Source organism: Homo sapiens, chromosome 5 (genome assembly GCF_000001405.40).
Source record: "Homo sapiens chromosome 5, GRCh38.p14 Primary Assembly".
NCBI classification, from domain to species: Eukaryota; Metazoa; Chordata; class Mammalia; order Primates; family Hominidae; genus Homo; species Homo sapiens.
Genome location: NC_000005.10, coordinates 160,463,562 through 160,489,190, shown reverse-complemented (window position 1 = coordinate 160,489,190; position 25,629 = coordinate 160,463,562). Strand labels below are relative to the sequence as shown.

At 43.1% G+C, this 25,629-nt stretch overlaps 1 long non-coding RNA gene and 2 other non-coding genes across 3 annotated transcripts, besides 6 other annotated features; all 3 read right to left on the bottom strand.

Annotated features, from left to right (window-relative positions):
- Positions 1 to 1,764: 1,764 nt before the first annotated feature.
- Positions 1,765 to 20,940, bottom strand: MIR3142HG (MIR3142 host gene). The gene is made up of 2 exons (NR_132748.1): positions 20,751 to 20,940; positions 1,765 to 3,892 (listed from the first exon to the last, which is right to left on the bottom strand). It is a non-coding gene; the product is annotated as an MIR3142 host gene (long non-coding RNA).
- On the bottom strand, positions 3,741 to 3,839 carry MIR146A (microRNA 146a). The gene has a single exon (NR_029701.1). It is a non-coding gene; the product is annotated as a microRNA 146a (primary transcript).
- Positions 11,154 to 11,702: an enhancer, noted in NCBI's record as "OCT4-NANOG hESC enhancer chr5:159904496-159905044 (GRCh37/hg19 assembly coordinates)". NCBI's record gives its function as "activates a minimal SCP1, AML or CMV promoter by ChIP-STARR-seq in primed H9 embryonic stem cells {active_cell/tissue: H9 hESC(primed)}" and the evidence as "EXISTENCE:reporter gene assay evidence [ECO:0000049][PMID:30033119]".
- Positions 11,275 to 11,569: an enhancer, noted in NCBI's record as "tiled region #10249; HepG2 Activating DNase matched - State 5:Enh". NCBI's record gives its function as "activates a minimal TATA promoter and a strong SV40 promoter by Sharpr-MPRA in HepG2 cells {active_cell/tissue: HepG2}" and the evidence as "EXISTENCE:reporter gene assay evidence [ECO:0000049][PMID:27701403]".
- Positions 14,666 to 14,747, bottom strand: MIR3142 (microRNA 3142). The gene has a single exon (NR_036095.1). It is a non-coding gene; the product is annotated as a microRNA 3142 (primary transcript).
- Positions 20,723 to 21,359: an enhancer, noted in NCBI's record as "H3K27ac-H3K4me1 hESC enhancer chr5:159894839-159895475 (GRCh37/hg19 assembly coordinates)". NCBI's record gives its function as "activates a minimal SCP1, AML or CMV promoter by ChIP-STARR-seq in primed H9 embryonic stem cells {active_cell/tissue: H9 hESC(primed)}" and the evidence as "EXISTENCE:reporter gene assay evidence [ECO:0000049][PMID:30033119]".
- Positions 20,836 to 20,995: an enhancer, noted in NCBI's record as "active region_23569". NCBI's record gives its function as "activates an Ori minimal core promoter by ATAC-STARR-seq in GM12878 lymphoblastoid cells {active_cell/tissue: GM12878}" and the evidence as "EXISTENCE:reporter gene assay evidence [ECO:0000049][PMID:35858748]".
- Positions 21,026 to 21,255: an enhancer, noted in NCBI's record as "active region_23568". NCBI's record gives its function as "activates an Ori minimal core promoter by ATAC-STARR-seq in GM12878 lymphoblastoid cells {active_cell/tissue: GM12878}" and the evidence as "EXISTENCE:reporter gene assay evidence [ECO:0000049][PMID:35858748]".
- Positions 21,360 to 21,996: an enhancer, noted in NCBI's record as "H3K27ac-H3K4me1 hESC enhancer chr5:159894202-159894838 (GRCh37/hg19 assembly coordinates)". NCBI's record gives its function as "activates a minimal SCP1, AML or CMV promoter by ChIP-STARR-seq in primed H9 embryonic stem cells {active_cell/tissue: H9 hESC(primed)}" and the evidence as "EXISTENCE:reporter gene assay evidence [ECO:0000049][PMID:30033119]".

Here is a 25,629-nt window from a genome sequence, read left to right as displayed (position 1 = left end):
AAGAAGAGCAAAGAGGAACTAGACAAGATGGCTTGTACCCTGGTTTCCTGCCCCCAGAGCATTTTTCCAGACTCTCTGACCACCTGGACACCCAAACTGGGAGCTGCCTCTCTGAAATATTATTAGAAAAGAGGGCAAGAGTCTAGATGTGAGAAAATATGAAAAAAAGAAATTTCCATTTTAACTAACAAAGGTTTGACTGCTGGCAGGACTTAGGAAACCACTGTGTCCCTAAATCAGTGAATCCCAGCAACCTAGCACAAGGGAAAGGCAGACTGTGAGGTAGTGTGTCCAACTTTCCACCTCATCCCATTAATGTGAGCTGATAAATCATGACCTTCCTTTGTTATCAGAGGATGGCAAATCAATACTTCCATTATCATTATTATTACTCCCAAGGCACCTCTCTAGCAGCATGTGAGCTATTCTCTCCCAAGCACAGAGCCGAAAGGATGGCTAATCTGCTTCTGAGACCCCATCAATCACAACAGGAAGAGAAAGGATGAATTGGGAAGAAGAAACATAATAGTACGGAGGGGGAAAACAGCATTTGAAAAAGCCTGGAATAGTTGCTCTAAGTGTCGTCCTAGGACCTCCTTGATGACATTCAGTGAGTGATGGTTAAAATGACAGATACTTTGGAAATGCCTAGTCTGTGGGTCAGGGGCATGACCTGCCTTAATTGACAACTTCTTCAAGCGGTTTTATGCACCTAAAGTTTGCACATTAAAAACCTAGAAATCTACTATTCACCGGTGGAAATATCACTTGTAACCATCTTGAAGTTTTGGGGTCCTGCTGTTCATCTCTCAGAAATAAGTTTTGCGGAATACTTGCATGCATACTTGTAGGAGTGGGCCAGCATCTTTCATGTCAATGTCAGCTATATTTCAGTTCCAGGGGAATGCAGATGTCCCTTGATTGACCCTATCAGTACTAAAACTTTAGTGTGCATAAAAGTCAGCCAAAGGGTTGGTAAAACAGAAATTGCTGGGCCCTACCCCTAGAGTTTTCTATTCAGGAGGTCTTGAGTGGGGCCTGAAAATTTACATTTCTAAAAAGTTCACAGGTTGGTTAGCTAATCCAAAAGTCATTCCCAGGCCAAGCGTGGTGGCTCATGCCTGTAATCCCAACACTTTGGGAGGCCAAGGTGGGCGAATCACCTGCAGTCAGGAGTTTAAGACCAGCTTGGCCAACATGGTGAAATCCCGTCTCTACTAAAAATATAAAAATTACCCAGGCATGGTAGCAGGCGCCTGTAATCCCAGCTACTTGGGAGGCTGAGGCAAGAGAATTGCTTGAACCCAGGAGGCGGAGGTTGCAGTGAGCCAAGATCATGCCACTGCACTCCAGCCTGGGTGACAGAGTGACTCAAAAAAAAAAAAAAAAAAGTCACAGGTGATACTGATGCTGCTGCTCCAAGAAACACATTTAAAAACCACTGGCACACATGGATGGATTTTTGGAGAGAGTTCTTTTTTTATTTAGGCAGAAAAGCATGATTAAGGGAGAGGGGAAAAAAATCACTTGCAATCTTAACACCCACTACCCACTGGATATCCATACACTTACACGGATACACACACACTTCTCCTCGTGCAAAAAAAAAAAGAATCACACTACATATTACCCTGTGCCTATCTTCTTCATGGGACAACAAATCAGGGCTCTCTCTCCACTCCTCCATGACCCACCTCTATGGCATACTGTCTAATAAATGCACAGCATGAGTACTGTCTGGACTCATCACAATTGGGTGTTATATTGTCTTCAATAACTTTATTGTTGTAACCAAACATGTTCTGTGTTAAGTCAAACAATAGAGAAAAATACAACCAAAAAGAAAAACACATCTCAAATCCCACCACGTCAGAGATAACCATTGTTAGCAAATTGATGTACATCTTTCAACACACGTATTCCTACATACATTTATTATTTTACATAAACTGAATCATAGACACCAAGTTATTTTGCAACATGCTTTTTCCACTTACATAAACCAAGTTTTGGTAAAGCAAATACAACCTCAAAAATCTTTGAGAAATGTACTATCTAATGGAATCTTAACACAAATTCTCTATGAAATGAAGCATTCTTTTATACAGTGAATTTCTGCCTACTCCTCACAGATACACTAGGTTAATTTTTTAATGTGTGTGTGTATCTGTGAATTCCATATTTCATTTATTAGGTTTGCTTTAGGAAGAGTGCCCCTGAAATAAAAATGAGCCTTTTGTACTAAATCGGAGTTCTGAGCCAAAGTCAGTGTCCACAGCACAGAGGAGCTGAAACCCAGAGCATTTGGAGCTTCTAGTATATATTCTGGATTTTCTCCATCAGTCTAGGACTGAAGACACCGATCTCTGGTGTCGGTTGAGATTTCACCAAGGTTCTGGTTCTGGAATGAGTCACTGGCTAAGGGTCTGATAAGCAAAGGGCGGAAGTGGGCAGAGTGTGAGAAGGGTGGGGGAGGTCCTTGATCTGATCAGTACAACCCAGAGAACACACCCATGTCCCACACGCTTGCGAGGGGGCCTTCATAATAACCAAGCACCCCTTTCCATCTGTAGAACATGGTTACGTGTTTTTCAATTTGCCATCCTGTTGTTAATTTGTCCCCGTTTTCCAGATGAGGCTTGGTGAGATTCACTGAGATCATGCATACAAAGAAAGCCCTGAGCACAGTGCTTGGCACATAGTGGGCACTCAGTAAACCTCGGTGTCACTGAGAAGACAGAATGAGAATGAGCATGCTGTGGAGTCTTTCACCTGCCTCTCCTCTGGGACAGGTTACTCTTTCATTCTGTAGACTGTAATGACATGGAAATTCCAAGATACCAAGAGACAATGATGAATCAAAGATGAGTTCCCAAAAGACAAATCACATCCCTTATTCCCCATCAAATCTAAAGCCTAATAAAGTCCATATAGCACTCATGAGGCCTCTAACCTTCTGCCTAAAAGTGATCATCATCACAGCAAACCTGAGCCTCAGAAAGGACCTAGCTTACTTGGTGACAGAGGAGGGCAACAGAAGGACTTGGCCCATGGCACCCAGCTGACCATGTCAGCAAATAGAGAGGCCTTCAAAGCCTTTGCATTCCTGTTCCCTGGAGAAACTGAGGATTGCAGTAAAGTGTAATTACAACCTCTTTTTGCCTTGTTTGAAATACAAAGGGACAATGTAGCCCTAATATATTTATAGAAGGAAGTAGAGATCAAATAAAGGAAGAGGGGGACCAAAAGAAGGGCATATCCATGTTTCTCATCTTCTTTCACTGCAGATCTTAAAAAGGAACCAGAAGCCTCAGCAGTCCCTGCTAAAGAATCATTGTCACATTCTATTAGTTCCCTCTGATCCCGTGAAGAGGGGGGAAAAATCATTGCATGGCAATGCCATGTGTCTCAAGCTTCATTAAAGTGATTTCTCCCAAGAGTCTCGTATAACAGCATGTAAAGCACTTACAACAGTACCTGAATCATCGTAAGTAATCAATAAATGTAAACGAGTAGCAGCAGCAGCAAGAGAGACTTGCTGAGATCATTCATTTAGCTACTTGGAACCCTGCTTAGCATAGAATTCAAGTCTTTTCACAATCAAATGAGTGTTTCTCACAGGAACTCACACTCCTTATACCTTCAGAGCCTGAGACTCTGCCTTCTGTCTCCAGTCTTCCAAGCTCTTCAGCAGACTGAAAAAGTTCTTCAGGATCTACTCTCTCCAGGTCCTCAAGCCCACGATGACAGAGATATCCCAGCTGAAGAACTGAATTTCAGAGGTCTGACACTGACACAACCCATGGAATTCAGTTCTCAAAGCTGAGGATACACATCGGCTTTTCAGAGATGGTGCAAAGACCCCTCCTTGCAGTCCAGGCCTGTCCCAGCCCTGTAAAATACAAGAGTGAAAAGCCTGGTAAATCCAATGCAGCTGCTTCCTAGTACCAGGTCTAGTCCTGGCACTCATGAGTTATAAACATCTGGAGGAGACCAGGCCAGCAGTCTGGAAGGCTGATGTGGGTGGATCTCTTGAGCCCAGGAGTTCAGGACTAGCCTGGGCAACATGGAGAATTTGTCTCTACTAAAAATAAAAAATGAGCCATGCATGATGGCCTGTGGTGGGAGGATCGCTTGAGCCTGGGAATTGGAGGTTGCAGTGAGCTATGATTGCACCACTGCACTCCAGTCTGGGCCACAGAGAGAGACCCTGTCAAAACAAAAACTAATCTGTAGGGGATGTGTATGGTAGACACACACATCATTAAGCATCATTAAACATGGTAGCTGGCCTTTCCTGCCTCATGACCCTTCCATATGCCATCCCTCTGGCCTGGAAAACTCGTTCCTCTCTTTAACATCAACTTATCCTGATGTTCTTGCTTTCAATGTCACTTCCTCAGAGAGGCCATCTATGGCAGAGATTGCTGATTGTTTGCCCAATATATATTCTCTCCTCCTTCTATACTAATAGAACCCTTAAGTGGTATCTGAACACATGGACATCTGACTTTGTTTCCTCACCTGGTGTGACAAAGTGCTGGATATGAGCAGGAGTGGAGAGTTTTTTACTGTTTCCCTCCCTCTTCTCAGGCTTGGACTGTAGACATGGTAGAGAGCCACTGTGGACCATGCAAATGAGTGCAGCCCCCCAGGGAACAGCAGAGCAGCATGCCAGAAGAGCCCCAAAAGTGTGAGGCTTCCTTATACACCCTAGACTGCTTACACCTGCACTGATAGATCAGCAAGAATGGAACATTTACCTTATTTAAGCCACTGTTACTTGGGGATCTCTGTAAGAGCACTTGAATGTTTACCTACCACTCCCTCACCATCAGCCTCCAGCTAGTCTCTTTCATAATATGGGATTCTTTCCTTCACCGTAATTTGTAATTGTTAGATAATTTTGTATAATTATTTGATTAAAATTATCTCTCCAACAAGACTGTTTTCCATAAGCATAGAGACCATGCTAGTGTTTTTTAAATATGTATATAGGCGAGATGTGGTGACTCACACCTGTAATCTCGGAACTTTGGGAGGCTGAGGCAGGCAGATCACCTGAGGTCAGGAGTTCAAGTTTCACTTGGCTAACATGGTGAAACCCCGTCTCTAACAAAAATACAAAAATTCGCCAGGCATGGTGGCGCACACCTGTAGTCCCAGCTACTTGGGAGGCTGAGGCAGAAGAATCACTTGAACCCAGGAGGCAGAGGTTGCAGTGAGCTAAGATTGCACAACTGCACTCCAGGCTGGGTGACAAAGCGAGACTCTGTCTCTAAAAAATAATAATAAAATAAAATAAGTATATAATAGCCTTATTGAGCTATAGCTATATAGCTCACACACCAGAAAATTTACCTATTTAAAGTAAAAAATGCATTGGTTTTTAGTATTTTGCAGAGTTGTACAACCATCATAATCAATTCCAGAACATTTTCATCATCCCCAAAATAGATCCCATAACCATTAACAGTCAATCTCCATTCCCCTCCCTCACCCCTGGGGAATCACTGATCTACGTTCTGTCTATATATATGCTGGACATCTTATATAAATGAAATCATATAATCAGCGGCCTTTTGTGACTGGCTTCTTTCACTTAGCTTTCAGGATATATCCATGTTTTAATGCGTATCAGTACATCCTTCCTATGGATGAATAATATTCCATCGTTAGGATCTACCACATTTCATTTATCCATTCATCAGCTGATGGGCATTTGGGTTGTTGCTACCTTTTGCCTATTTGATGCTTCTATGAATGAATACCCATGTACAAGTTTTGTATGGACATATGTTTGCATTTCTCATGGATGTGTGAACCCAAAAGTATCTGAGACAGACCTGAATCCATTTAGGAAGTTTATTTTGCCAAGGTTAAGAACATGCCTGTCACACAGCCTCAGAAGGTCCTGACAACATTGTGCCCAAGGTGGTCGGGGCACAGCTTGGTTTTATACATTATAGGGAAACATGAGACATCAATCAGTATATGTAAGATGTACATTGGTTCAGTCTGGAGAGCTGGGACAACTAGAAGCAGGGGTGGGGGCTTCCAGATCATAGGTAGATACAAGACAAACTGTTGCATTTTTTTGTCTCTGGTTAGCCTTTTACTGAATACACAATTTACATGTGAGAGGAGGGTAGAGGAATAGTCACTTATTCCTTAGTCTGGCTTAGTGAAATAATAGGGCAGAAGAAGCAATCAGATATGCATTGGTCTCACATGAGCAAAAGAATGACTGAATTCTGTCTGTCCTTTGTCCACAAGGAATTTCCTAGTGGGCAAATTGTGAGGGAGGTATGTAGCTTTTTTATCTTTGTAGCTAGCTTACGTAGGAATAAAATGGGAGGCAGGTTTGCCTCACACAGTTCCCAGTTTGACTTCCCTTTGGCTTAGTGATTTTGGGAGTTCTGAGATCTATTTTCCTTTCACAGACGTATACCTAAGTGTGGAATTTCTGTGTCATATGTTAACTCTATGGCTATCAGTTGATGAATGGCCAGACTGTTTTCCAAAGCGGCCACACTATTTTACAATTCCACCAGCAGTGTATGAGGGTTCCAGTTTCTCCACATCTTGCCAATACTTGTTAATGTCTATCTTTTGAGTATAGTTATCCTAGTAGGTGTGAAGTGGTATCTCACTACGGTTTTGATTTGCATTTCCCTGATGGCTAATGATGTTGAGTATCTCTTCATGTGCTTACTGGCCATTTATATAGCTTCTTTGGAGAAATGTCTATTCAGATTTTTTTGTCAATTTTGTAATTGAGTTGTTTGTATTTTTATTATTGAGTTGTAAGGGTTCTGTATATATTCTAGATACAAGTCCCACATGTATAATTTGCAAATATTTTCTCCCATTCTTTGGGTGGCTTTTTAACTTTCTTAATGGGGTGTGTGCATGTGTTTTGTGTAACATTATTTCCAGCTTCTAGCATGATGTCTTGATCATAGTAGGCACTCCAGTGATGGATGGATGGAAGGATGGAAGGAAGGAAGAAAGGGAGGGAGGGAGGCGGGGAGGGGAGGAAGGGAGGGAGGCTAGGTCTCAGTTATGCAGGCTTCCATCACAACTGTCCCAGCACTGACTGACAGCTAGGTTAAACATTAAAAGTTGATTGAGCCAGTGCCCTTATACAAAGTCTGGAATGCAACAAAAGCCCACCAAGAGTTTTGCCTGGACACTAAAGCATGACAAAATAACGAAGGAATTCTTAACAGGACCCATTTAGGATTAAACAAGTTTTAATGGGGGTCTGAAGAAACTCCCCAGGCCTCCACAAACAGGTTTATTGGGGGCCTAAAGGAACTCCCCAAACCTCCATGATTTAGCAGGGGACAAGATAAGTAATCACCCCAGCACCTGGACCCATTTAGATTAAGTAAATTTACTGAGGCTCTAGAGGAAGGTCTTCAGGACTCAGACCTTAGTTACAGATTAAAAGAAATTAATCACTAATGTCTTTAGATGAACGCACACTTACATGTAGACATATAGCTTAGAAAACTTTGTAATTTTGAGTTGGTCTAGTGATAATTTCTGGGCCTTCTCCCTGTAACTGGTTACAGAAATAAAAACTCTCTTCCTTCCCAGTTCATCTGCATCTCGTTATTGGGCTGTGAGAAACAGCAGCCTGACCCTCAGTTTGGTCCAGGAACAGGAGGGAGGGAGAAAAGGAAGGGAGGGAGGGAGAGAGGGAAGGGAGGGAGGGAGAGAAGGGAAGGGAGGGAGGGAACTTACTTTTACAAACCACACAGTTTAATTTCCTTATTTTAAAGATGGGGAAACTGAAAAGTTAAAAACATTAAGATGACAACATGATGAGATAATAAAAACAAGGTGATAGGCTGGGCACGGTGGCTCATGTCTGTACTCCCAGCACTTTGGGTGGCAGAGGTGAGGGGATCATAAGGTCAGGAGTTTGAGACCAGCCTGGCCAACATGGTGAAACCCCATCTCTACTAAAAATACAAAAATTAGCTGAGCATGATGGCACGCACTTGTAGTCCCAGCTACTCAGGAGGCTGAGGCAGGAGGAATGCTTGAACCTGGGAGGTGGAGGTTGTAGTGAGCTGAGATCGTGCCACTGCACTCCAGCCTGGGTAACAAAGTGAGACTGTCTCAAAAAAAAAAAAAAAAAAAAAGGTGATAGAAGTTAAAACTGGGTTTTAGCCCTAGCTTGTCTCCTACCAGCTATGGGAACTAGGCAGGTCATATAACCTCTCTACACATCAGAGACCTCCTCAGAAATGGTCCTCTCTCACCAATCAGGTATTGGAAGGAGCAAAGTAAACTAATCTATGAGAAACCACTGTTTGAACATGAGTTATAATTGAGGCCGAAGGTCAAATAGCTAAATCAGCCTGGTCAGAAAATGATGGCAGGTGGCCCAATTTCTGGTCCAGGGTGAAGCATAGGGTGCCATATTTTATTTTTCAGATTGTTGCTGATTTTCTTCACCAATTAGAAGATTTTCTGGTTCAATGCAGAAAAGGGGACCACTAAATTTGTGGCAAATCACACAAATCCTGGGTCCTCCCACCACTGACAGTCCTAAACAAGAAGTGTTGCTTCCACTAACTGTAGCCCCAAGCCGTGATTGTTTTATTCACGACTGGATCCCTGGCACCTAACTGTGCCTGGCACATGGCAGATGCAGAAAAGTAGTTTTTAATTCGTGGACAAATGAATGAGTGGGTGAACAAATGAATGGCACTGTAAAATAAACCTGAACCCCACAATCTGCAGGGGGAATTAATCTGCAGATAGAAGGATTCTGGGGTAACATTTGGGTATATCTGGAGAAAGCAAAGTGTAATGCTTAGACAACAGGCTCTAGAGTTTGGTTGCCAGTGTTCTAATTCCAGCTCTGAGCCTGCCGTGAGTGCAGAGGGAAAAAGCGGCAGCCACGCATTTTCATCTCTGCTTAAACTTGCATCTATTTATGTCTATCGCTGTGCTACATCCATGCCTTTCATTCCTTCTGTTCTGTGCCAGGCTTCATGCTCCCGTTCAGCCATGGCCCTAAGCCAAAGCTCAGGCATTTTTTTATTCTGGTTGGATCCACACAATTTGGTGATTACTATATAAACGTTTTGTATTGCTCATGCTGCAGCACCAAATCCGTTTACTCATAATGATTCACTAGAGACACTCACTTCCCTCAAGTGACATGTAATGGCTTCTCCATCACCCTCAATGTGGCCTTTTACCACTTAGAATACAATGTAAATTATTTGAGAGTTTCCACTTTTTAAAGTAAGCGTTGCCTTCCCTTTCACATGAAGGAAAACCAGACATGGAAGGGGAAAAGTGCTCCAACTTAGGTGGTTTTGCTCTGTTGCCCAGGCTGGTCTCAAATTCCTGGATTCAAGCAATCCACCCACCTCGGCCTCCCAAAGTGCTGGTATTACAGGCGTGAGACACCACAACCAGCCAACAAGGCACTTTCACACAAATCTCACTTCACTCTCAAAAGCCATAAAGAAATGCCATTGCCATCCTCACTCGATTAAAAAAGATGAGGAGAAGCAAAAAGAAGAGAAGGAGGAGGAAGAGCAGTAGCTAAGCAGTTAAAACATCCACCTAGCACATACAACTAACACTTTTGACCATTCGGCCCCACTGTCTGGCTCTTGGAGACATAAACAAAAATGGTTTCTTCCCTAAAGGAATTCAAAGACTAGATAAGGTGGCAAGGTATACAGATGAAAAATAAGTAACTGCAGAATGCTAGATAAACATGTACTCAGCCTGGCCTTCACAAGAGAGGCCAGCAGCTGGTAGAAAGGAGAACTTTCATTCGATCCCTCTGTAGGTCCTGCAAGCTCTGCCTTCACAGTACACGTAGAATCTAACTGTTTACCCTCACCCAAGCCACCATCAGCTCCCACCTAGGAGATCTGCAACAGTGAGGTCTCCTGATTCCACTCCTGCCTCTGCAGTCCACCCTCCAAATAGCAGTCAGAGGGATCTTATTAAAAGATAACTCAGAAGTAGGAGTTGAACAATGAGAACACATGGACACAGGGAGGGGAACATCACATACTGGGGCCTGTCAGAGGGTGGGGGGAAGGGGAGGGAGAGCATTAGGACAAATACCTCATGCATGTGGGGCTTAAAACCTAGACGACAGATTACTGGGTGCAGCAAACCACCATGGCACATGCATACCTATGTAACAAACCTGCACCATCTGTACGTGTATCCCAGAACTTAAAGTATTTAAAAAAAAAAAAAAGAGGCCAGGCACAGTGGCTCACGCCTGTAATCCCAGCACTCTGGGAAACCCAGTCAGGCAGATCATCTGAAGTCAGGAGTTCAAGACCAGCCTGGCCAACATGGTGAAACCCTGTCTCTACAAAAATACAAAAATTAGCTGGGCATGATGGAGGGTGCCTATAATCCCAGCTACTCGGGAGGCTGAGGCAGGAAGAATTGCTTGATCCTGGGAGGCGGAGGTTGCAGTGAGCCGAGATCATGCCATTGCACTCCAGCCTGGGAGACAGAGCAAGACTCTGTCTCAAAAAAAAAAAAGGAGAGATAAATCAAATCATGTCACTCCCCTGCATAAAGCTCTCCAGCAACTTTACATCACACAGAGAACAAAACCCAAACCCCTCAGCATGGCCTACAAGGCCCATGTCATCTGGCCCCTGCCTCTACCTCCAATCGCATTTTCTACCATCCTTCCCTCATCCATCCACTCCTGCCCACCTGGCCTCCTTGCTGTTCTTAATTGCACCAAGCTGTTACCTTTTCCTGGAATGCTCTTTCCCAAAATATTTCTACTGTTCACCTGTCACTTCTTCCAGACTCTTCTCAAACCTCACCTCATCAGAGTCCATCCCTCACCCACTCTACCTAAAGGAAACACAGACATGCCCCACCCATCCCCCAAACGTTCCAGCCCCTTGCCTGCTTTTCTGCCTCATACAATTTATTATTAGTTTACAGTTACTTATTTGTTTACTGTCTTTCTGCCTGGTAAGAGTGAAAGCTTCATGGGAGTAGGCCCTTTAACCAGAAGAATGCCTGGCACAGAGTAGGTCAGTTTCTCAATCTTTTTTTCATTATCATCCTTCTAAGGAACCTTTTCAGACTTTTTTTTTTCTAATCCCCCCACTATGAAATGTTAACACTACAGATATATTATATGTCTATATATACTGTATGTATATTTGTGCTTTACACATAGAGTTTTTTTTCACCTCCTAAGGGCCAATTTTCGTGCTCTTTGAGGGGAGGCATATCTTCCCCATGGAATAGGTGCTTGATAAAAATGTGTTGAATGGATAAAACTCCTGAGGAGAGCAGCAAGCTCTGAAAGATGGACATTGTTCAAGGTATAAAGTTCAGCTGGGGAAATTCCAAGCCTCCCCCCACTCAACCCTCCCATCTTTGTAGCATGAGTACATCCTGTCATGCTGTGTCTGGTGACTATCCGGTATTTTTCTAATGCAGATTTTCAGCTTTAAAACAAAACAAAACCCTACTCTTGTTTTGCATCCTGGCTCCCACTGCTATTTTGGATCCTTGAATTCACTTTTTCTCCACCTTCCTCCCCAGGCAAGCTTTAAAACCCAGATAAGGCCCGCTCCATTCGTACACAGTTTATTCTTTCCTTCATCCTACAACCTGCACTGAGTTCCTATGTGAACCAGATGAAAAGATGATGATGATTCAATCCCTGCCCTCTGGAAGCTCATGAGGATGTGAGGGTAGACAAACAGGATGCTAAGTTCAACACACCAAGGGCTCCAGGAGGAGCAACAAAGTGCTTCGAAAGGACAACTGCACTGACCCAGTGGAACCTCTCCTTGCTCATCCATTCACCCATCACTGACTTACAGAGCACCTGCTGCATGTGTCGGGCCTGTGCTAGATCCTGGGGTTGCAGCACAGACAAGACCAGCATGGTCCATGGAGATCACAAAACAGGAGAGACTGAAATCTCACTGATAATCACACAGATAAGTGAGCCCAAATGTGATAAATGCGACCAGTGGAAAAGCTCAAGATTCTATGAAGCACCTGGTAGTTGGAAAGAAATGACATTTAAGGAGAAACCCTGAAGAATAAGTAGAGCATGGTCTGGCAAAGACCAGGTAAAAGGGAGTTCCAGGCACAGGGAACAGAATGTCCAAATGGTCACAAATAGGATGTGACCAGGCACACTTGTGAGGACGGAGAGAGACTCCTCTACTGAGGTCAATAACGAGACTAGGGATGGCATGAGGAGAGGAAGGTCCAGAAAGGCAAGAGCCGATTCATGTTGGCCTTGCTGAGAAATATGGAGTTGACCTTAACTAAAGACAGAGGAAACACAGAAGGAATGTGATCCAGGCTGTATTTTTTAGATATTTTGGTTGGGTGTGGAAAACAGCTGGGAGGAGGGTAAAAAATCATCCCACACATCTGTCATCCAATCACGCAATTTAACATGTGATCCTGCAGGGTCTTGCACCCATAGGTGCAAGTCCTGTGAGACTGTGAAATTCTCAAAGGTAGATATCACATTTTCCGCCTCTTTTTACCCCGTCCCACAACAGCAGTGCATGGTACATGGTAGACAATTAGAAAACACTTCTTGAGTAATTATTTTATAATAACAAATTCTATGTTTTTATTATGATTAACCACTCCTTCTCTCTGCCCTCTGAAAGTTCCCCTCCCGTCCTCAGTCATCTTCCCATCCTCTGCCTGACTGACATATTCTGTTTCGGAAGACCACAGTATCTTTCAGATGACCTCCCACAAGCTCCCAGTCACTGCATTGCATGGAAAGCTGGACATCAGGGTGGTGACGATCTGAATAGTAAGCCATTGGTCCCCTTGCTGCCCCCAGCCCCCACCTGTCCCTGGTCACCCAGACCCTCAAACCTCCAGTTCTTCGGAATCTATATCTCCAGTGAGGCACTAGTTTGTTCCTGTGCCGCCAAAGCAGCCAGGCCAAAATAAACTTAAACTGCACAGTCGGAGCCATTCCCCAGCCAGAATGGGGAACAGAACAGAGCAACACAGCAAAGTAATTGCCTCCTATTTACCAGGACGTACTTTGCACTATGAGCCATTTTGTCAACTTCATGAGATTTGCAGTCAGAAAACACGGAAACAAAAGAGCAATATGAAGGTCTTTTAACCACTGACCATTTACATTTGTCAGCATGACTGCTCCATCCATTATTATCATTTCCCCAGCGCACAGCCCAGGAAAACTGTAGTTGCATTAGATCAATAAAAAACTGAATTCTCTTTTAAGACAGAGTCCTATTGTGTAACTATGTTGGGCAAATGTATAACTTGTCCTATGAAAAGAAATCCCATACCTCATTTGGTCATAGTGCATTGTGACAGAGAAACTATTTGCTTCCATTTTTAAGAATCCACCCCCTTTCCTTTTATGTATTTTTCCCACCATATGAGAGAAATTTATAAAGGAACCCAAAAGTTGTTATAAATATACTTTGCCAGCTCTCACCCCAAAAAATACTACTGTGGCACTTTGCTCTTGCTATACAGAGTTAGAATAAAGGAATGGGTTTTCAATATGCGTGGCTTTTAAGAGAGACTTACCTAGTATAACTTTATAAATTCGATATCCTTTCAAAGCTAAATTAATCCTGGTCTTTCAGTTCATTCTCAAAAGGTGTAAAGGAGATACATCCAAATTCCTTTATATGCTAGCTATAAAAAAAAATTAGGTAGTACCTAACGTAGCACTTTATTTTTTAAAAAAATTTTCAAATAGTCTGCATAATTATCTCATTTAGATCTCCGCACCGCCTTAGGAGGAAAGCTGGAGCTAGCATGGAAACATTTTTGGGCCAACAAATGTTTACCAAGAAGAAGCTGTAAGGTGATCCTCCAGTACTGAACTTTGCTAGCCCTTTCTGTAAAAAAAATTCCCCTTATAACCATGAGGTGACTTCCTGCAAGGTGAAAAGAAACGTTACTAAACACAAACAGCCAAACAAATAATTGCAACCCATACACCTTGTCCTGGGCACCTCTAGGCTCTGGGGCCCAGTCAGCTGGGAATCAGACGCCTGGCATAAAACATGCTTAAAGTCGCAGAAACTGATGGCTAGATTCACTAAGCAGAAACAGGCAATACATTTCTCTCTGGTCTTCCAGCCTATACATTTAACTGTTTTCTATTTGGGGATGGGGAGAATATTCTAAGTTTCACCCCTGTTTCTATGGTCTTGACTTTCTGTCTCTATATGTATGGGCTCTGCCTATATCTGGGGTCCATTCCCTTTGTAGTTACTCAGGTACCAGTCTCTGGGCACAAGTCCCTCCATAAAGGTCACCACCTCCCAAAGAGCTTCTCCAGTTCCCTCCCCACGTCCACAGCCTTAGATGCTTACCTCTGTGGAAACAATTCTCTCCTTCCAATCTCCAGGGAATAAACTCTTCGGAAGCCCAAAATGTCTTATTTGACCTGAATGTGTGCCCTATCCTTACAATGCCTGGCTCATGGAAAGCTCGCAAATGAATAATAACAGTTATCTTTGTAGTTAAGATGTATTAAATGCTTATTAGGAGTGAGGCTAAATGAATTCTTTCACTAAAAATTCCTAACAAAACTGTGAGGTAGGTACTATGATCAACATCATTTTATAAATGAAAAAAATTAGGCTCAGAAAGGTTCAGCAGCCTTTCTGAAGGTTCAGAAAGGCCTTTCTGAAGATTCAGCAGCCTTTCTGAAGGTTCAGAAAGGCCTTTCTGAAGATTCAGCAGCCTTTCTGAAGGTTCAGAAAGGCCTTTCTGAAGATTCAGCAGCCTTTCTGAAGGTTCAGAAAGGCCACACAGCTGGCAAGTTAAGAAACTAGGTTTTCAACTTAATCATGCTGCCTCCAGAACCCAGGCTTCCAACCACTCTGCTGTATTGACTAAGTGCATTAAGTGAGCATCACCAAGGCCATCAAACCAATGAGCCTGACTACAGTCCCCAATGCTCAGTCCAAGGCACTTCCTTCTCTTCATCAAACCAAGTCCTGGTTTCACTAGAAGAAGGAATTGAGCCTTTAGGACAAAGGCAGAGACAACCCACACCTGCCATCCTCAACCAGCTCTTAACGCATAGCAATAATCATCCCCGGGAGAAAGGCTCTCAGGCAAGGTTAATAACAAACGTAATGGTTTTACAATATCTGCTGCTACAAAAAGCAAAATAAAAAAAAATTTCTGGGTGACTAAGTAACATGAATTGCTAGAAGACGAGTCTTCATTCATCCCCCTTTGAATTGCAAGATGATGGTGTGTTTTAACGGTAAATGAACACGGCATTCCCAAAGCCATCAAGTTAATGAGTCAAGTAAATCCTCAGTCTTCTCCTTATCCAGATTTTTATCTTCCCCACTGTCATTACCATCTTGCTCAGAAAATCATTTCTGGGCCTTTCTCCTGCTCCAAAGAGCTGGATTGTCAATTAAAGGCCTGTTAACTAACGAATTGCTGTTCTGCAGCTGCAAATAAAATTCACACACAGCTCAGATGACTTTATCATGGGAGTTGATTAATTAGCAGTTACAGGGCCCTGAAAATAGAGTTCCATTTCATTAACATAGACTTGTAATGTTTTGGTGCATATTGTTGTGATTTAAACATTTTGCTCCACGGCGGAGAAGATATGGAGGTGTAGGAAAAACGGGAAGTCTATGGGATAATCAGGAGTGAGACCAAATGTAAAGGATTTTTTTTAATAATGTAATGGTTAACATTGAGCTCAGGTCTTTCCTACCAGAGTCTGTTCTGAGCATTTCCTGTGATTAATTAGCTCATTTGGCCTTTGTGACCATGCCAGGAGATAGGCAATATTATCGTTAGCATTTTACACAGGAGGAAATTGTAAACCAAAAACAAAATTTGAAGCACCCCCCACCCCAACCATCTGAATGGACTTCCTCCTCAGCTAAGGCTCTTTTAAAATGTAACCTGAGAGATTATTTCGGGCCATGATGGGAAGTGGGGTTCGAACATGCCTCATTATACCTCTCCGGCATTAACATCAACACTGACTATAAGTCTGATAAGAAATATCTTATGGGCCAGACACCATGGCTCATGCCTGTAATCCCAGCACTTTTGGAGGCTGAGGTGGGCAGATCATCTAAGGTCAGGATTTCGAGACCAGCCTGGCCAACATGGTGAAACTCTGTCTCTACTAAAAATACAATAATGAGCCATGCATGGTGGTGCCCGCCAGCTACTCGGTGGTGTCCCAGCTACTCGGGAGGCTGAGGCAGGAGAATTGCTTAAACCTGGGAGGTGGAGGTTGCAGTGAGCCGAGGTTGTGCCACTGCATTCCAGCCTGGGCAGCAGAGCGAGACTCTGTCTTAAAGAGAGGAGAGGGAGAGGGAGAGGGAGGGCGAGGGGGAGGGGAAGAGGGAGAGGGAGAGGGAGAGGAGAAAAGAGAAAATTTTACAACCTATTCTCTGTAAAGCCTAGTACTTAAAGGCTTCCTCTGCAAATAAGAACTTGGGTTCCACAATCCTTCATCTTAACCCAGCCATTACTTTCTGTTGATCGCAGGTCTTTAGACAAACTCAACCGTCAACCAGAAAATGTTTACATTTACCTATAGCCTGGAAGCCCCTGCTCTGAGTTATCCCACCTTTCTGGACCAAACTAATGTATTTTTTAAATGTATTTGATTGATGTCTCATGCCTCTCTAAAATGTATGAAATCAATATGCACCTGGGCCACCTTGGGCCCATGTTCTCAGGACCTCCTGAGGGCTGTGTCATGGGCCATGGTCACTCAAATTTGGCTCAGAATAAATGTCTTCAAATACTTTACAGAATTTGGCTGTTTTTCATTGACAAAGTGAAGGCACACAGTTACTAAACAGTAGAGCCAAGATTAACACTCAGGCTGGCTCCAGAGCAGTGGTTCTCAACTGGAGGGGCAGGGGGAGTGGAAGGGGAGGCTTAACCTTCCTAGGAATATTTGCAGTGTCCGAAAATATTTTTGATTGCCATGAGTTGGTTGTCATTTCAAGGTGTCATGAGTTGGGGGGCATCTAGTGGGTTGAGGCCAGAGATGCAGATAAACACCTTACAATGCACAGGTCAGCACCCCCCAATAGTAAAGAACTTTCAGTCCTAAAATGTTACTAGCGCTAAGGTGAAGAAACTCTGCTCCAAAGCCTGGTCCTTGCTATTGTGTCCAAGACTTGTGCCCAGAGAAAAGGGCGGGTGACCAGTGATCATCTCCCTTCCCTGTGTAGCAGCTGTGTTACTTCCTGGCAGGTTACCTCAGCAGCAACAACTTACAGGGTTGATATTATTTCACTTGCCTGAAGGCTGAATTTGACTTCTTAAAAGCCCTGTGAGATCTCAGGTTTCCTAGCAAAAGCTATGAAATCTCTAGAAATAATAATTAAACATGTGACATTGGAGCAGAAATAGCAAATCACCAATAGAATAAAAATGAGATTCTAGAAAGATATCTGTGTACATGCTGTAATTTAGGACCAGGTAAAAATGTCCTTTCAAAGCAGAGGAAGAAATCAAAAAGCAGAAGAGCGGAGTGTACGAGAACTCTCTGTGCTGTCTATGCAATGCTTCTATAAGTCTAAAACGATCCTAATGCTAAAATTTTAGTTTTTAAAAAAAGTAGAGGAAAAACTAGTACCTAAAGAGGAAAACATTAACATCAGATCTGTCTTATATCATACACAAAAATATACTTCAGATGGATGACAGAACTAAATGCAAATGAACAATGTGATGGCAATAAAAACTATAGAAGTTTCAAAGATAAATATAAAAATAAATCTTTACAATCTTCACTTGAGGAAGTCCTTTCTCAATGAGACACAAAAACAATTGCAAAAAAGACTGACAGGTTTGAGACTATCTGTGTGGCAATATAATTGCACACTGGAGCAGCAAAGAGGATCAGTTTAGTAAAGAAGTAACCACAGTTGTTTTTGCAGCTTTCTTCTGGGAGATAATCCAGAGCCAAAACTTTGAATCTCGAGTTACAGAAGTCAAAGGGAAAGGCCCTTGTGGGGAACACCCATTTGGCATCCCTCTCTAATTTGCTTTAGATTTAACAGGGAAATTTTTCTTCCTTCTCTCTGTTCCTGGTGTCCCCGGTTGAAGGAAGTCTCTGGCGAGCTGATGGATGTTATTGGTACATAGTGGCGACCTTAAGCCTAATTCTGGGTTTGGCTAGAACAACTGGCTCTTTTCTTACTATTTTAATGTCTGAACTGATATGGGTGACATTTCCTCCAGCAGTGGGGGCAGCTGATAATGACGACTGTAGGCCAGATGAGTGCTGATTGCTACACACCAAGATTACCCCAAAATGGAGGCAGTGCATGACTCCCTCCAGTACCCCAAGAGACAAAGCTAGAGAAAATACTCAGCTCCGCATCCAAAACTCTGAAATTAACTTCCCCTGAGATGTGCAGAGTTTTATGCTCAAACTTCCAAAAAATATTAAAAATTCAAGATAGTCATTTTTCTCAGCATGAACTTGTGCACTCTTTTTTTTGTATATATACACCATGATTCAGCAATGAACTTGTGTTCTTATCTCCAACAAGGAATGTATCTAAATAGTCATATCTTTAAGGATATGAGTTTTTAGCGGAGTCAGGAACCTAGGAAAGAACTATACAAAGAGGTAGACAGCCCTCAGCCACCCCTTTGATGGTGTATCCATGCATTTGCATTGTCCTATTATCTTTTCTTAGAGAATCAAAAGACCTTTCTAAGATCTTGGAGAAAGAGTAACAAATAGTATGTAAGATATTATATCAGAGTCAGTCTGGAATGGGAAAAATCAGATGTGAGTCCCTACTGGAAAGTGGAGCCTTAAATCAATCACTTGATCTCTTTGAGTTTCAATTTCCTTAGCAGTCAAATGGATTTAATTCATTCATTTAACAAATATTTAATAAGTTCCCATTATGTGCTAATTCTACTGTTTCTACCAACCTTACAAATTTTATGAAAGAATTACATGAAATGACAAAAATGCTTTACAAAGTGTAAGTCATAAAAATAATTCATGTTATTGTTAAAAATAGAAGATTTTCTCTTGTTATTAAATAAGACTAAAGCCCAGAACAAAATAAGAAATGTTTGCCAGATTGTAGAACAACCAGAAGGAGGAATCCCCATTGCAGTTCAAAAATTGCCCAAAAGCTGGCTTTTAGGGACCACACCCAAGACTATAGATTGCTGACAGCCACAGAAAACAAATATTTACTACAAGTTGAGCCCAAAGGCCTCCACTGAGAACCTAAAACTACACAGAACTGAAGAAGTGCATGCGTCTGATTCCCGCAGGGCCTTTGGAGAAAGTGGGACTCTAGGAATTCAGAGATGAGAAGAGGGCCCAGGAATGCATCACCAGGAGCCATCCAGTCAGCTCCTCCCCGCATCCCAGGCCTGGCCTCACAGAATCCTGAAGATGAAACATCACCCACTCCACAAGCTAACAGTCCAACAACTCCAAACAACCGGCACGACCCCCAGAGTCCACCTTCTCTCTCTCAAAGAGCTTCTTGTATGGCTGCTTATCTGTTCCAAGGAGTACCATGCATAAGGACAGCAGTATGATTTTAAAAACAACAAATAAAGAGAAGCCAGTTCTGTCCAAAAACCCATTGTTAATAACGGGGATAAAGTGTCAGTAAAGCGCTACACTCAGAAGGGTTTGGGGCAAAATCAAAGCAGAACCAGGGCACACAAATAAAATAAAGGACACTGCACTTTGGGAGGCCGAAGCGGGCGGATCACCTGAGGTCAGGAGTTCAAGACCAGCCTGGCCAACGTGGCGAAACCCTGTCTCTACTAAAAATACAAAAATTAGCCAGGCATTGTGGCGCGCATCTGTAATCCCAGCTACTCTCGAGGCTGAGGCACAAGAATTGCTTGGACCCAGGAGGCGGAGGTTGCAGTGAGCCGAGATCTTACCACTGCCCTCCAGCCCGGGCGACAGGCCGGGAGCAAGACTCCATCTCAAAAAGAAAAAGAAAAAAAAGAAAGAAAGGACACTGAATGTGAAGGTCTCAAATGACAAGAAAATACCGTAATACAATAATTAAACCCATTGAGGCATCAAGAAAGAAAAGTGACACTGTTTGCCAATTAGTATACAAGTCAGGTTCAGTATGTAAAAGATTCTTTTTAAAAAAATAGAAAATTTAAAAAAAATTCTTACTATCCAAAGACAAGATTGAAATTGAGAATAGGAACACAATAAACAAAAAGTAATAGCCATAGTCTTCCAACCCTGAAACCTCCTAAGAGCACCATATTTACTGTCCAATATTTTCATGCTATTGTCACTGCAAGAAAGTTTATGACTTGCTAAATAGAGACCACAGTCTACAACTCCAGGTTTAAAGCATATTATTTTATCATCCATAGAGATTCTAAACCACTTCCTGACCCCACTCTATCCCCCCCCACCCTGAAAATAACAAAAGGTTAAAAATATGTCCCTTTTGAAAATGGAGCCACATCTTTACTAAAGCACTGGAAATATCTCCAAGTCACTGACATTTTTATATTTCTAGACCATGACAAAAGTCTCACCTACTTGATTCTAATGTCATTTCAATATGCCTTAAACATCTTGATTATATCTTTAATGTGCCATTTACTCTGCAATAATCCACTGTACAAAAGCCTGCTGCCTCTCAAACAGAAGATAAGTACATAATAAATCAGCTTGCAATGATTATTTTTTCCCAGCTCATACTCACAGCGAGCTCCTAAAATTTCATTTTATTTTATCATTTCCAATTCAGCCGCTGTTCTCCCCCTCCTCGTTGTGCTACTGTCTCCTGTCCATCCTGTCCACCCTTTGGCATGCCTTCCGGCCCAGGGTTTACCACTCCAATCGGCCCTGCTGGTGCCATCCAGGAAAGGAAGAGCGGTCAAGCGTCTTGGAGAAAGAGCATCTTTCTGGAGAGACTCTTATTTGCTGGGGTAGAGGAAGGCAGCTAAGGCCTATTTGCATATGCTTTTATTCCATTTCCACACCCTGCACGCTAACCCTCTCTGGAAAGTCCCTTCTAGATCCCTCCTCGGCACAGCGAGGGAGGAAGAGGCTGGGCCGGAATGGAAGGTTCCAGCCTGGCAGTGTCAGCTTCTCTCCGCGGAGCTGAGGGGGAAGCCTCCACCTTCCCCATCATGCGTGCAGGGTCTGGACCCCCGGGTCGGGGACCCTCTTGCAGCACGTGTCAGGAGCAGCCTGGTGCTTTGGCCTGCGCGCTCTAGAGCGTTCTGTGCAGGATGCGCCTGCTCCCCTGCAGCCTCCCCCGAGGAAGTTCTGGTCAGGCGCTGGGTCCCCAGGCTTCCTGTCTGTACTCTCCGCAGCCCCGCGGGGAAATCCCGAGAGCTTTATCGGCTGCCCAATGAGCCTGTTGGCTTTTCAAGTGCGCGCAGGCTGAGTTTCAGCCAAAACCTCAATTTAAACGTTAACCAAAAATAAATAAATAACATGTGTGCAGGCATTTAAAAAGAGAGACTGCCTTTGGGGAGAAGATCAGGCAGAAAGCTCCCTTGTTTCATTGCTGCAGATACACGAGGCCTGGATTTGCTCACCCTTTGAACAAAGGGATTCTTTGAACTGTAAACTGACCTGGCAGGCGGAACACTGAGAAATCTTCCTGAGCACCTTTCTCTGGAAATGTGAACATTCAAGGCAGTCTTGTGTGTCAGCTAAAGAGAACAGTCATAGCTAAATTTTAATGGGCACCTACTAGGCACCAGGCACTCTGCTAAATGTATCACGTGCATCATCTTCCCTAATCCCACAGCAATCATCCATAGCAGGTAGCCCGAATTATTATCTCCATTTTGTGATCCCCTTTTACTCATAAGGGAATTTTATCTTTGGTGAGGTTAGGGGGACTTGCCTAAGGTCACACAATTAGTAAGTGTTTCCATGGGTGCCCTTAGCTGCTCCTTTTCCCAAACTGGAAAGAACGTACAAGGCCTTTGGAATGTGCAACTGCAAATTCAAATTCCCAGTCGAGAAAATATAGCTTCCTTTCCTTGGTCACGTGCTCATGGACCGAAAAAGACCAGCTCAAAGGATTTTGCTTCCAGGCAGATGTAGTCACTTTCCTGACCTCCCCTGAAGGTTTTTGTTGCTTATCTTGCTGAGCTCCCAAAAGGTTTGTTTGAACGTCTACTATAGATAACGTTTTTAAAAGCAAATATTTATTGAGCAATTGTTATACACCAGACACTGTTCATAAAAACATGTTCTTATTTAATACTCCTAAGAACCCTAAAAAGCAGATACTATTCTTAGATTAGAAATGAGGAAACCGAGGTTCCAAGAGAGTCGAAACTTGCCAGAGTTCACATAGCTAGAAAATATCAGAGCCAGGATTTGAATTGAGGTTTCCTGTCCCCAAATCTCTGAACCTGGTACACTGCATTACTCTGCCTCTCAAGGGGTCCACATCAAAACTATTTCCTTGTGTGAGATTCTCTCCCATTGGAAGGGAGTTCCTTGGGGGTTTGGGGTGGACCCAGGTATCTGAGTGGGCTCTGGGCATACCTTCAAGCACTCCAGCATCTGCTGAAACCGGGTGGGTTGATGGAAGGGAGGAAGCATAAGGGTGACCAGAAGAGTTAAGGGCACTCTTAACACATCCCATGTTGTATTAAGGAGTAAGCAACCTATTTGTGAAGTTTTTATAAAAGGTTAAAAGCTGCCTAATTCAGTTAGCGACAATTCTGTTTAAAGAAATCCAAAATTATTTGGATCCATGAACTGGGGGCTAGACTCAAATGGAATAAACAGAAGGAACTCAACCCTTGCTGGTTTCTGCTAACAAGTACATTATCCCGTTCCAGTCAGTTAACTCGACTTCGGCATTCCTAAGGGCTCCTTTGTGACACCTGGGGGTCATTAGTATAGTTTTCCAGAAACAGGAAAGTGGATGCTTGGAGCCAGAATTTAAGTAGCTATATGCTATCAGCTGCAAGCACCTCCATCTGCTGCCTTTTGCCTCGGGAGGAATAAACTCTAAAATCTTGAGGCAGGTTTTCAGGGATGATATATGAATTCAGCCTCATCCTTTTACAACCAAAATACGTGTCATTTTTGTTTCATTTTGTTGGGGGGTAGGGTGGAGGAGAGCTTAAACATCATTTATATAACTTATATTACATGCCAGGGAAAGTGCTATGCACTTTACCACCATTATCTCACTTAATGCTGATAAGATGGGTATTCGTCTCTATTTCACAGACAAAAATCCAGAAGACAGACACTCACAGAAATTAAATAAATTCCTAGAGTTAAAAGTCAGTAAAGAAGCCCTGGCACGGTGGCTCACGCCTGTAATCCCAGCACTTTGGGAGGCCGAGGCAGGCGGATCACCTGAGGTCAGGAGTTTGAGACCAGCCTGGCCAATATGGTGAAATCTCGTCTCTACTAAAATTATAAAAATTAGCCGGGTGTGGTGGTGGGTGCCTGTAATCCCAGCTACTCAGGAGGCTGAGGCAGGAGAATCGCTTGAACCTGGGAGGGGGAGGTTGCAGTGAGCCGAGACAGCACCACTGTACTCCAGCCTGGGTGACCACAGCGAGACTCCATCTCAAAAAAAAAAAGATGCTGGAAAGAGAGGAATTGTGTGGAAGGAATGTGAATCTTCTTTGCTGACAAGAGCACTGTCTTATCTGGTTTGGAGTCCCAGTCCAACTAAGTGTTATGCTACATTTCTCATAGGTACTCATAAATGCAAAAGTTAACTGAATTACTGGGTTGGAGCTGTTGTCTACTCTCAGGAAGCAATCTTCATTGTTGTTATGAAGACTTTTTGAGGCCTGCATTGTTTTTACTTTAATTCCAAGCAGCATCACTCTTCCTTTTGAATACCTCACTCCCTCCCCGTCTCCACCATTGAATTAGATATTTCAAAATGCACCCATATAGGCTGTCCTCAATTCTGCACAGCACAGTACTACACCATTTATATAAGGGACTCGAGCATCCATAAACTTTGGTATCCATGAGAGGGTCCTGCAACAATCCTCCTTGGATACCAAGGGATTACTGTACTGTGTTAACTGAGACATGCGTATATCAGAACCATGTCCTCAATTTGCATAATTCCGTGGTGATGTTGATATATGAGCTAAAGCTGATAAATCAATTCAGTGTTATGATGTTATCTTGAGGAACCATTAAATTAAACATTTACTCACTTTAATTTTGTGTTTTCCTTTTGAATTTTGGAGCCACTTTTTTTTCATGAGCCCTGGAAAAGCACAGACACACAGTGTCTAGAGTCCCTTATGTTTTACCTGGTCCCATGTGTAAGGGATGCTTTTGCTCCATGTTTTACGTTGCACATACAGGGGACTTGAGAATCTCGCTGTTGTTCACCTTAAATGTCACAGTGTGGGCTCAAAAGTACAAAAATATAGACTGGAAAGATGACCCTCAGGTATGCCCTGAGTACTGTGGGGAAGTCTCCACCTGAATTCTTTGGCCCTCAGACTCTTTGATCTGGTAGTAGGAAATTGTGACATATACAATTATAAAAAAAATACCCCCAAGTGTCACGACAACGTTTGTGTTTCCAGCCCACTCGGTAGCTCAGATGCTTGGGGTTCTTAAACTCAGGAAATTCCCCAAATAGACAGCCGCTGTTGGGGTAAGGATTAGAGCTGGTACTTGATCAGCTGGCTTGCAGTTTAGATGGGGCTCAGACTCGGGATGCAGCTCTCCCTTGTCCCTGCAGGTTCAAGTGAACCTGCTGGACTTCCTATATCCAAAGAAAACTCTCATGTAACCAAATGCCCTTTGGCCCACGAAGGTGCTGCATATCAAGCATAATAATCATTAGACACCCTCCTGCCTGCCACAGCCCACACTTTCTCCCTCCTTTCATCAGAGCACAAGCCTGTCTGGCAGAGATACCTTATACCATGTTTTTGAATTTTCATTTGTGCAGAACTTATCTCTCTGACCAGTTTAAATACCTGTAAAGGCAACAAGAAATCGTCGAAAAGCTGGGCTTTAGACTCTTGCTGAGAAAAACTAACTTGAATTCTCTAAGCCATTCTTTAATAAAATCAGAAGTAACAAATACCTGACAGGTTGCATTAAAGATTACATTTATTTTAAAAGCCAGTAAAGTGCCAAACATAATACATGATTCATAGCAGCCCCAGGAAATGACAGAGCAAAGAGATCACCTACTAAATATCTTTGTTGTGTGTCTCATGTGGCCTTTTCCCAAGCTGGACATCCAGAGCGCTATCTAAAGCATTGCGCAAGGGAAAAGGATCACATTACGCTGCCACTATCAATATGCAGAAAAACAATAATGATACCAGCTGTGTTCCTGCATCCTGAGACTCTGCTCCTGAAACTGAAAATGTGTAAATGGGAAATCTCTGCATAGCTAGATGTGGAAACAAAGGAACTGGGCCTATAAGAGAAGCACAGCATCCTCTCCTTCAGAAGTCCACAGGGGCTGGAGTACTGATGATGGCACACAAGGGCACCATGAGTTTCTGTGCATACTAACATTGCAGACTGCCATACCTGGAAGGTGAACAGAGGAAAGGCAGGCATGACTTACCAAAGGGAACACATCCTTGCCCAGCAAA